The sequence below is a fragment of the Homo sapiens genome, chromosome 22, assembly GCF_000001405.40.
Source record: "Homo sapiens chromosome 22, GRCh38.p14 Primary Assembly".
Lineage (NCBI taxonomy): Eukaryota > Metazoa > Chordata > Mammalia > Primates > Hominidae > Homo > Homo sapiens.
In genome coordinates, this window is record NC_000022.11 from 20,268,520 (window position 1) to 20,280,738 (window position 12,219).

At 60.0% G+C, this 12,219-nt stretch overlaps 2 annotated features.

The window, feature by feature from the left end:
- Positions 3-62: a silencer, noted in NCBI's record as "silent region_13487". NCBI's record gives its function as "represses an Ori minimal core promoter by ATAC-STARR-seq in GM12878 lymphoblastoid cells {active_cell/tissue: GM12878}" and the evidence as "EXISTENCE:reporter gene assay evidence [ECO:0000049][PMID:35858748]".
- Positions 6,145-6,645: an enhancer, noted in NCBI's record as "H3K4me1 hESC enhancer chr22:20262187-20262687 (GRCh37/hg19 assembly coordinates)". NCBI's record gives its function as "activates a minimal SCP1, AML or CMV promoter by ChIP-STARR-seq in primed H9 embryonic stem cells {active_cell/tissue: H9 hESC(primed)}" and the evidence as "EXISTENCE:reporter gene assay evidence [ECO:0000049][PMID:30033119]".

The window sequence follows — 12,219 nt, forward strand, 5'->3', positions numbered from 1 at the left end:
AGGCTGGCCCGGTCCCCAAGCGGGCAAGGGCTTTGTCCCGAGGCCTAGGAATGGCCTCTGCCTGACCCACTCCCTTCCTGGCCTCACGAAACCCATGAATCCCCCGCCCCCTGCACAGAAGCCCCTTGCTGCAGCACGATCGCCCCCATTTTTCAGTAAGAAACAGGCTCAGGGCTTAAGAGAGTTCTGGGGGCCCTCCTGGGCCTTTGTGGCCCTCTCTGCACCATCCTAGAGAAGGGACCTAGGCCTGATGTTACCCGTAACCCTGCAGGGGTCCCCCACCTCTTCCCTTCTGCGGAATGGGGGCTCCAAACCCAGAAGACGCTCTCCGAGGTCACCTGCTTAGTATCCCCCCACTCTACCAAGCCAGCCCCCCACGGGCGGTGTGAGGCATGGGGCCAGAGAATCCAGTGACGCCCCTGCACACACCACACAGGGGTGCAGGTGTCCCTTCTCAATCTTCTGCTCGGGGCACCTACCGGGCCTCACCGATGAGCTCCTAAGTGCATCCCGGGGTCTTCAGACAACTGCCAGGCTGCCCCTGCACCTGGAGAAGTGCTGGGAGTCAGCTCAGCCGGGCTGGGTCCTCCCCAGGCCCACCCTGCATGAGAGGACCATGCAGATGAGGGTCTTGCAGGCCCACCTGGTGTCAGTCTGTAGGACCCTGACTCAAGGACGGAGTGGGCCAGCCTGATGCCTTGATGGCCCCCCTCAGAGCCCAGGTCCACTGATATGAAGCAGAGAGACCTGGTGACTGGGCACCCCTGTGCCCTCTGCCTGCCCCTGGCCATGGAGGTGGCCCTGAGGGAGATGAGCAGGGCGCAGGGCCGGTGACCTGCCTGCCTTGTGCAGAGGAAGTGAGGACCTCCCAGAGCCCTGGTGCTCCCATCTGATCCCAGTGGCAGGCAGCTTCGCAGGGTGGAGCCATGCTGGGTGGGCCCTCTGCCTGGTGTGGAGGCTGCACTGCCCACATGCCTCTGGCTGCCGCTCTGTGGCCCTCATCACTTTGGCCTGCTTTATCCCTATCACCCTTGTCCCAGCCTAGGCTTATGAGGGCATTGTGGAGTGCATGCCATTCCCAGCCACACAGAAGGTGAGGTGGGGCCCAGACACCCCCAGCCACTCTGTCCCCTGGCCTCCTGAAGGGGTGGGCTGTGCACACACTGCCACCTCCCCAGAGGGTGCTGGCTGCCGAGTGCCACCAGCTCAGCCCCTGAGGTGGCTCAACAGGTCCTCCCAGAGCCACACCAAGACGTCATCACCCATTGCACAGATAGGGAACCTCAGGCGAAGCTCACAGAGCCAGTGGGAGGCTGAGGCCTGACCCCCAGACAAGCATTCTTCTCCAGGGTCCCTGCACACAGCAGCCCCCAGGCTAGGAACTGAGCTCTCTCCACAGGGATGTATCAGACCCTAGATGAGTCACGTGGCACTGACCATCAGTCTGAGGACAGCGCTGGGGTGGACCAGGCTCCAGTCTCGGGCTGCTCTGTGCTTGCAGAAAGGCCTTGAGAGGACACTTGCTTGCTTACTCCGCAGGCGTCTCTTCAATTACCAGTGACCCAGAGCAGCCCACTATAGCTGAAGATTGTGACCCCACACCCTATCTCATAGGTTTAAAGCCCCTCCCACCCCTCCTGCCGCAGCCGAAGTGACCATTCTGGGGCATGGGATGGGCATGGGGTGAAATGGGGAGCAGGGGTGGCCCTGGAGGCTTCTGGCACCAGCACCCTCTCCAGCCACCAACCTGGCTGTTCCCGGTTGCTCTGCGCTGGGACCTGGGCCTCCACCTCCCCACAGGTCTCTGCATGGGAGCAGGGCTGAGGCCTGCAGAGGGAGCGCTGGGGGATGGGCTGGTTTCCTGTGTCCGCCACCTCGGTCAGCACGTTGGCCAGCACCCTCCCCACTGGAAGCTGGGCCCACTCCTGGGTGCTAGCTGGGATGGTTAGGCGTCGGCCAGCGCTGATAGGGAGTTATGGGGGTGCAGAGGCAGAGTTGAGCAGGGCTAGGCAGCCGGTGGGTCTGCTACCAGCAAGGCACAGCCCACTTCTCAGGCTGCGCATGTGGGAGGGTTTGGTAAGCCACATTTTTCAGGGTGTAGCCGGGTGAGGGGTAGCATGGGGAGTGGTGTACTCTTTGGGCAGGCGACCACGGAGCCATCACCCCCCAGGGCCCAACGGGCAAGAAGGGGAGCAGCTGACGGCTGGTGAGGGGCTAGCAGGGAGGGCTTGACAAGGGCTGGAGCCCCTGGTCAAGGGGCACAACCAGTTCTATCGGGTCACCTTGTGGGAGGAGCCAGGGACCCTGTGGGCAGAGCCTGGCCGTCTGCTGCCCGGAGTCTACACCAGTCAGTTCCTAGGAAGCCCCATCAGGGGTGCTGGGAGGACAGGCCATCTGTGCCCAGCTGATGCAAGCTCCCAGGCTTTCTGGACACGTGGCCCTGGGGATCAGGAGTGAGCTGGAGACTGCAGACAGCTGTGCCCTCAGGGCCACACAGACCTGTCACACCCTGCCTGGACTGGGTCAGCAGGGCCACACGGGCATCTGCCCGAATCGTTCCCCACCTCACACCCACCATGTGGGGCACATTCTTTGCCAGCTTCCCCAGCCCACCACCCCTCTACAGTGAGGCCAGGGGCTGTCTCACCTCCCACCCACACCCACACCCAAAATGTGGGGCTCAGCCTCCACGACCAGCATGCCGGTCATGAGGGCCCTGCCCAGCTGTGTGACCTCAGCCCAGTCCCTTGGCCTCGCTGAGCTTGCACAGCATGTGGACGAGGCAGACGCTAATGCCTCAGGTCCTGGTCAGCTGGTCACCATCCCTCCTTTGTTCACCTCGCCTGTCCCCTGAGAGGATCATGCAGGGTTTTCACTCAAAACTCCAGGACTGCCCATAGAAGCCAGCTTGAGATGAGGGGAACTTTCGCGGTGGCCTGTCTTGGGCTGACAGGGACACGGTTCAGCCTCCTTGGAAGGTCACTGCTTCCCAGGGCTTGGGAAGACTCATCTCCTGCCTGGAGAGATAGGCGTGCCATGGCTTTCCTTGGCATGCCTGTGCGGTACTCACGGACATCCAGGCCCTCAGTGTCTCCTGGGGAGGGATGGGGCAGCAAGGAAACTGGGTCTTTGCTCCACACATTCTGGGCCACTCCAGGCCAATGCAAGGAGAGACCAAGAAGGAAGCTAGAAGGTCATGTGGCAAGCACATGCCTGCTGCCCAAGTGTGTCAATGTGACTGACCTTCCCTGCACTCTGAGTGGGCGGCTGGGGATGTGGTCCCAGTGCCAGGGAGCTGGGGGGTGTTGGCCTGCCATCTGCTCTCACCATGGAGGGCGGCTGCATGCCCAAGGCCTAAGAGGACTCTGTGCCAGGCCTGCTGAGTGAGTCATCCCATTCAATCCTACAGTGTAGACACTACTACCACTACCCATTTTCCAGACCAGAGAAGGAGGTCTGGGGAGCTTAGGTGGACCCACATCTTGGCAGCCCCTTTCTGCCCTCTCTTTGTCCACAGCCTCCGCCTCCTCCAGAAGCCTCTCACCATCCCCCATCCCCGGGGCTGCAGAGGGTGTCCTGGCCTTCCCCTATCAGCTCTGCACCCCTGAGGACTCCCATCCCTAGGAGTCCCTCTGCCCAACTTTGGTGCATGTTAAGCCATAATTAATCTGCTTCCTCATCTCTTATTCATCAAAGCCACAGCAGCAGCAAAGGGGGCTGGCACAAGGAAGGGACCGACAACCAAACCCTGGCAGTGGCCCCAAGAATCCCACTGGGCCTGCCCATCTCCAAATGCCTCTGACCCTTCACTAGCGAGGGCCTCCTCCCACAGAATGGCATCCTGGATTGTGCCACACTAGGCAGGCCCCCTGACGGACCATGCGCACCTCCCACCACCTGGAGGCTGCTGGGGACCGTCAATGGGACGTATGCATTGCACAGTGATGGCCCTTACCTCTGCGTCCCCCAGCCCTGGACTGGATCCCTTGTGGCCCATCTCCAGGATGGGAGCCTGAACGGAGATGAAAGGACACTCGGCCAAGTGGGACATGCCAGGCTGGCACCTGGACCCTGGTCCGCCACTCTTCCTGGTGCCTAGAGGAAGGGGTGAGTCCCCAGGGCTCCTGGACCTTGAGATGAGCCTCGGGCCACTTGTGTTTGCCAGCAGATGGGCTCAGGGTCTTCTCTCAGTGGGCACAACCGAGTTGGTGGCCTCTCTCTGGGGAGGCCGGCTGGTGGGGGCTGGGGAGTAGGCGGCTTCTGGTCCCTGAAGGCCCAAATCTGGTGCAGGGGCAGAGCTCCGGAAGGCGGGGGTCCCTGGGCTGTGCCCAAGGCATCCGCTGTGGCTTCACGCCCCTCCCCCGCCCCTGCAGGGAGTGTGGATCCTTCTAGAGCCACCCACCTGGCAGTGACAGCTAAATTGGGAGCCGCTGTTCACACCAGGAGCCCAGCGGGCAGTCAAAACCGGGTCGGGGGGGAGGGGCACCCGCTGAAAACACCCACAAGCTCCCAGTGGGGCAGGGAAGGCAGGGAAGGCATGGTGATAGCTGTCAGCAGGAGTGGGTGGGGAGTGGAAGGCAGGGTAGACCGCCAAACCCATCTTGGGGCCATAGTGAGATGGCCCCTGGGATGCTTCGGCTGGCCAGTGCCCAGCCTTGCTCTTGTAGGAGCTCCCTGGGCCCCTGGGTTCCCCACTCTGGGCCACCACAATCCATGCAGCATGCAGGTTTGTTCCGTTTCCCAGATGGAGAGGCTGAGGGCTTACCACAGGGTTCCGTCAAGGACGCAAAAGGGCCAGCCTGACTCTGAGCTCAGTAGCCCCACCCTCCACAGCCTCCCTTGCCGCCTTCATCTGCTCACTTCCTCAGTCACTCAACAAACACTCTGGGAGGCAGACTGTAACACCCTGCATACCTCTGCTGGACCCCCATTCCACATATCCCCACTGGTTACAGGTGGGGAAACTGAGTGCCTGGGAGGCGGGCCTTGGCCTGAGTCCCCCAGTCAGTGATTCCAGGATAAAGGGCATAGCCATGCCATTTGGTCACTTGAAGCCCACAGGGGTGACTGGGAAGAGCCCACCTAGCACCCCACATTCTGCTAGGGTGACTCAGACCAAGTCCTTGGGGCTCTGCCCCCCAGCCAGTGGCTCTGCCTCTGAGAGCCATGGGACAGGGAGCTGTGCAGGGTGGGGCCAGCAGAGCCTGTGCCCCTGCCTGAGCTAGTCGTGATGGGGCCTGCCCTGACCCCTTCCCAGGCTCATGGGTGCGGAGCAGGGCGGGGCCTTACAGTGAGATGGGGGCCTCTGTGGGCAGTCCTGGAGGCCAGGCCCTGGGGCTGGGACTCACTGGCACAGGGCCTAAGTTTCCTCCTGTGTCCGCAGGCCTTATTGCCTGCAAGGGAGGTGGAGGGGCACAGGGGCGGTGCCCAGCGTGAGGAGGGGGCTCTGAGGAGGCTGCAGCAGCCGGCAGGCCTCTGAGACTGGGATATTTTTAGCCAGGATTCCTGCTGACGGTCCAGGCTGGCCGGGGTTTGCTGCCAGCCTTAGAGGCGCTTCTCCTAGTCTGTGTCCGGACATCTGGGGTCTGCTGGCCCCACCCACCCTCTGCTCAATGCCCCCGCCCCACTGGCCCATCCAGCCAGGCGAGGGGCTCCCAGGAGGCCGGCCATGGTGGGAGCAGAGCCTGGGGCCCTCGGGGTGTGGCTGAGAAGAGGCCACATGGGCTGCTGGGGGCTGCCTGTGTCCTGGGTCTCCAGCTCCCAGCTGCCACTCTTAGCCGACCCGCTTAAGGGGCAGGTTTCTGGAGGCTCCGGTTCATGCCCAGGCTCGAGTTCTGAACTGAGCATTCTCAGTCCGCTGCCTGCTGCCTGCTGGAACGGATGGCTCAGCAGAGCGGCCACAGCTTGGCTCCCTCCTGGGCACTCCTGCCTGCCCTTGCCGCTTAGGTGCTCTGGTCATCAGGCCTCTCTGGCTGGCTCTACCAAGGTGCATGTGTGCAGGGCCTGGGCTTGCAGGGCCTTGTGGCTCAGCCAGGACCACCTCCCTTCCCATGGGCAAGTGAGGACATCCAGAAAGAGGGTCCTCTGCCTCGGCCACTCCCTTGGGACACCCCTCCACCCCAAGGCCTCTCGTGGAAACAGAGTCCAGCACTCAGCGTCATGCCTATGCACTCCACCGGCAGGACTGGCTGAGTCCCGAGGAGCCAGGCCCTGGGGCACAGGCCAATCGGATGGAACCCAGATGAAAGCCCAGTGCTGGGACCCACGGCCCATTCTCTGGCCTGGCTGAAGCCTGATGGCTTGTTCCTTGAATGAATCAGGAGGCCCATCCAGAGCAATTGTGAAGTTCACATGAAAGAATGAACGTACGGAGAGAGATGGGCCATGTCGCATCCTGAAACGCCTTATATTCTAAGACCATGATAATTAACACAGACCCTGGACAGTCACACGATGGGAAAGAGTCCAGAAAGAGGCTCAAATGCAAATATGAGAAGAGGCAGGTCAAATCCAAGAGGAGAGATGGAATATTCAACAAATAATCCCACATATACAATCAACACTTGGCCTTAAGACAACGGAATTGACATATGGAGGAAACATTTGGATTCCTACCTCACTCCTTGACGCTAAAACAAGTTCCAAGTGGAACTAAGATTTAAAAAGTAAAAATGAAACCATAAAACTCCTAGAAGAAAGCATGGATGGCAAAAAACCAATCTTGAGTCACTCTAAGAATTATACAAAACCCAGAAGCCATGAAGTAAAAGATGGGTATATTCAACCTCGTGAAAATAAAAGGCAGATGCATGGAGAGAAAAAAACCACCATAAAATGATAACCAACAAAGGGTAAAAACATCGGCAACTCAGTTCACAAAGGGCCGTTTTTGGTTCTCAATACAAATCAGTAAGAAAAAGAGCAACAGCCCAAGAGAAAAATGGGCAAAGGCATGAAAGGAACCTCCCATCACCCCCTGCTGACCTTCACTCAGAGTGAGAAACATGCGGATCTAAGCTGCAGTGAGATGCTGCCCCTCACCCACAGGGATGGCAGCCGCATCAGGCTGGGGGTTCCCTAGGGGGGCTGCTTAGGGGCTCCCACAGGTCTGGCTGTTGGAGGGCAGGGAGAGGCCTGCGGGTCTGGTGGGGCCGGGGTGAGGCACTCACAGATATGTCTAGTGGGGGTGAGGAGGGGGACCGCCTGCAGGTACAGCTGGGGGTGTCAGGTCGCTGGGGATGGGGTGGAAGGAGAGGATACCCATTCAAAACAGGAAATATATATATTTTAAAGTAAAACAGGCTAAGTGCAGTGACTCACACCTGTGATCCCAGCAGAGCGGGGAGAATCCCTTGAGGCTAGAAGTTCGGGACTAGCCTGGGGAACATAGTGAGTCCCAGTCTCTATAAAAATTAAAAAATAAAATTATCTGGCTGTTACGATGCACGCCTGTAGTCTCCGCTACTTGGGAGCTGAGGCGGGAGGATCACGTTAGCCCAGGAGTTCGAGGCTGCAGTGAGCCATGATTGTGCCACTGCACTTCAGCCTGGGCAACAGAGCAAGACCCTCTAGAAAAATAATTAAAAAAAAATAAAAATAAATATAAAATAAAATAAAAACCAGCTGACATCCATCCTCTCCTTGCCACCACTGACATGGCCGTGGGCCGAGTTCTCATGGCCATCCCACCGCGAGTCCCCAAGCGCTCCTGATGCCTGCTCACCCTTCTTGTCTTTGTTAGCGCCCCGTTAGCAGAGGCCTGCTTAACTTGTCTCTGGTCTTGCTTCTCAGGAGCCGTGTCACATTCAACAGTGGCAGCACAGAGGCCCTGCTCAGCCCCAGTCCCTCACCCTAGGCCTCCACTGCCAGATGTGGTCCTGGTGGTCCTGCGGACTCAAGCTGTCCCCCCCTGCCCAACCTTCACAGGCCACCAGCAAGTCCCAGGCCTCCCACAGGCATGGCTCTGGGCAGTATCTTTACCTTCCCAGCCTCAGTTTCCCTGATGGTGAAACAGGGTGAGATCTACTTCCTAGCAGAGAATCCGGGGGAATGGAGGCCGTGGGAGGAAGAGGACTTGAGGAAAGGAGCATTCCTGAGGGGTCCCAGAGCGGGCTGGGGCTGACAGGACTGAGTTTGCAGGGCCTGGGGACATTCCCTGGGGAGGTGCTAAGATGCCGGTCAGCTAGAGCAGCGGGGAGTGATCCAGGATGGCTGCCCGGATGAGGGGCTGGGTCGCTGGTCCCTGAGTGCCAAGGTGGTCTGTCCATGTCTGCAGGAACACACCCACCCTGCTGCCTCCAGGAGGGGTGCTGGACAGGCCTGAGCTCCAGGATCATAGGAGGCAAGAGCCACTCTCACCAAAGAACAGCAAGTGTGCCTCCCCTGCCAGCAATCTGTCCGGTCCAGCCCCTGCCCAGCTATCTGGGGAAAAGGCCACCTTTTCAGTGGAGGCTGAGCTCAGGGCAGGAAGAGGTTGAGAGGGGAGAAATGGAGTGAGAACTGGAAGGTGAGAGGTGTGAGTGAGAGGTAGGGGTGTGAATTGGGGGTGAGATGTGGTAGGTGAGAGCGGCAGGTGAGAGGTAGGGATGAGAGGTGGGGGTGAGAAGTGGAGGTGGGCAGTCATGGTGATAGCTTGTGGGGTGAGAAGTGGAGGGTGAGAATTGGGGTGGGAGTTGGGGTGTCACCTCCCAAACCCTCTCACCCTCAGATTAAGAAGCCCCTCCTATGGGCCCTGGAGGAACAGGCCTTTGACCCACCCCAACCCCACTGGTGTCTTGGGCAGGGAGATCTCGAGGTGGGGGCCTCAGCTCCCCGTAGGACCGTCTAGCCCTGGACCACCTGACCACAGCTACAGTGGGACAAGGCCCCTGTTGCCTGTCTGCTGGGGGCCGAGCGTGGTATGGAGGAGCCAGCAGCCCCCGCCTTCATCACAGAGGAGGAATCCGAGGCCCAGGAGGGTGTCTCTGGCACCCAACACGTGAGACCCTTTGAAAATCCCCCGAGTGTGTGGGGGGCTGGGATGAACATCTGGGGGCGGCAGCAGCAGGTGGCCCACCTGGCCAAACACACTCCTGTGTCCCCTTGTTTTTGGCAATTTCAATGACCAAAATCAGATCCTGGTATGGAGAAAAAGACATCGGTAAGGACGAAGGAAATGTGAACACTGCATGGACGATGGCTGATAATAGTGTGCCGCTATTGGCTCAGCAACTCTAACCTACCAATGCCAGATGCTCACAACGGTGAAACTGGTGTGTGGTAGATGCGATCTCTCTGTACTGTCTTCTCAATTTTTCAGCAAAGATAAAACTGTTCTAAAGTTGAAAAGTTTATTAAAAAAAAAAAAAGAAAAAAGACGGGCTTATTAGCAAAAATCTGAGATAGAACCAAGCAGTAGGGCCCAGCCCACCCCCCGCTCAGGGCGCACCAGCAGTACCCCTCTCTCAGGGACATGGCCAGGCCTGGGCCACTCCGAAGAGCTCTTCCTGGTGCTGGGGGGCCTGGTGGGTTTATTCCACCTGTCAGTCTCACTGCAAAGTGTGGCAGTGGAGTCTGAGTTAGGCTGACTCTTACCCTGCCAAGGACACCCCTGCACTCAGGACCCAGCCCCGGCCCCCTTGCCCTGTGGGCTGGAGGCGACCCTGTGTGCAGATGGCAGATGGAGGGGCATGGTGCTGTTGCTCTCAGGTCAGGGGCAGCAGCCTCAGCCCTGACCAGCCCTCTCCTGCGTGGTTGTGGTTGGGTCTCCTGGTCTCTGGCCTCCTTTCCATTCCAACCTGTAGAAAACAGTGTGGTGGGGGATGCTCGGCCTGCAGATCAGACAGGCCGGGGTCAAAGCCCCGAACTACCACCTGAACTAGTCCTGGCCGAGTGGCGCTGATGCTCTAGGCCGAGGGCCCCCTTGACAGAACAGCCATCATCTAGCTCCGCCGCAGGGTAGGGGAGGTGGCAGTGTGGGCCGCAGCCCTCGGCTGAAGCGGGGGCCAAGCGGGGCTCTGCCTGGTGCAGGGGGTTTCCTCTATGGGGCAGGGGCTCCCAAATTAGCCCTGGTGACATCTGGAGCTCACCTCTGGGGGCTCTGGGGGCTGAGAGAGCAGGCGGGGCCCAGTTCTATCAATCATCTGCCTTGTTCCTGGGGGATCGCGGTCAGTCCCAGCCTCCCCACAAGTCCTGGGGCGGGGCAGGCCTGCTGGAAACCCAAGATGCAGAGAAGAGCGCCAAGCACCTGAGACAGGGCTCTGAGCACGGAAGGCAAGGACGCCTCCCTCAGCCTCAGCTGGGGAGCCAGTGGCCCTGCATGCACTTTCTCCCGTCTGGGGAGCCTGAGCCCTGACCCAGTCCCGAGGCCCATGTGTGCACAAAAGCCCCCTGCTTTCTCACCCAGGACACTGGCGATCAGTGGGTAGGCGAGCCGGAGCCCAGCTGCTGCGCTCCCTTCCCTGCCAGGACCGGGCCAGCTGCATCCTCATGCCTGGGTTTCAGGGCTTCTCGGGGGATGTGATGGCACTGCCTGAGGATGTGGGATCCTTCCACTGAAAAGGGCCACACGGCTGTCCCCAGCACCCTTCCAGAAGGGACAACCCACTCCTGGGAGGTCTTAATGTAGACATCGAGGTCCCCCGAGCTTCCTCCATGGCCTGGCCACTTCACAACCATATTTCTTTATGTTCCACGCGCCTTGCCTGCTCCACGGCCAGGACCAGGGCCACCATCTTTGCAGCCGGTGAAGGGACAGCTGCCGTGGGCTGGGCTGCTGAGGCAGGACAGGGGTCCGGGCCAGGGAGGGGTGGATGGAGGCCAAGGATGGGCCCCTTGGAGACAGCCTTGGGGTGCAGCCGGCTCTGCCACCTCTCCCTGGCTTCCTTCCCTCCAACCTGTGACTCCTGGGAAGTCCCTGATGGGCCAGCCACTTGGGGCCGGGAAGTAACTGTGGTGTGTGGTGGTCACCCTCACCAGAGTTCATGGGGTGGAGCAAGGGGGAAGAATCTCCCCCAAAATCAGGTGTCTTGTTCCCAGGCCCAGCACAGAGACCTGGCCCCCAGACATCTCTGGACATTTGTTAAGAGTGGACAACTGCTTCCATTACACAGGAGAGGAAACCGAGGCTCTAAGGGGTCCCAGACTTGCCTGGCTGCCACAGTGAGCAGGCAACAAATACCAAGTGGCTGCCGCAATGGGGTAGGTGGGAGGCAGTGGCTGAACCAGAAAGTGCTGCTGTCGATTCTGCTGGTTGCATGAGTCTTAGGAGATCATCAAAGGGCAGATTGTGGGGAGATAAAAAGTATGAGTGGGGAACAGGATTGGGGGGAGCAGAAGAGCCTCAAAGACCCTGCGACATTCTCAACGTCTCGATGGTGACTCAGAGATAGCTCCAACCCGCATGGCGGGCAGAGTGCGGAGGGGACGGCTTTGTGGCTGGATTAGTCATCCCGGTGCAGCTCACCCCAAATCCCGGCTTCCAGCCCTGGGCCGTCCATGCTGGGATGGAGGAAGGGCAGCCTCTCCGCAGGGCCACGTCCTGGAGCCTGATAACCTGGCCAGCACACTGTGCAAATGGTGCATGAGACAGGGAGTTGGCTCTGTGTTCCCCACGGTGGCCAAGGGACCAGCTGTGCCTCAGTTTCCCTTATTCTATCAAACTTTGAAGAAGGTCCCGTAAAAGCGCATCTGTTTCCAGGGTAGGGGCCAGAGTCAGCCACCCACACCAGAGTGAGAATTGGTGGGTGCCCTAGCCCTGGCAGGATCTGGCATTTTGCTGGACGGAGAGAGGAGGCAGCACCCACTGGGGCTCGGGCAACCATCCCGGCTACCCCCGCCCCGGCCCGCCAGGAGAGGAGGGAAGCCTTGAAGTGCCAGGCCTTTGAATCGCCCATCTCCATGGCAACGCGTGGGCACAAAGGGCCGGGCCGGCGAGCAGGCGGCGGCTGCGCAAGCTGGAAGGAGGAAGGGAATCTTTTATTTATGGGGAGGGAGAGTCGGGGAGCCAGGCTGCGCCCACGCTCAGGGCCAGGCCGCAGTCTTGAGGCTGGGCCCCCTGCCCCATAGCCAGGGCCTCTGAGCAGCACCTGCCCACACACCCCTGACCCTCCGTGCCTGGCTGGGTGGACGGAGCATGGGCAAATGGAGGGCAGAATGGAGTGAGTGTCCAGCATGCACCCAACCTGGAGATCGGCCCAGAGGGTCCCTGGGAGCCTGCCATCCTCCATACCCCAGTCTCTG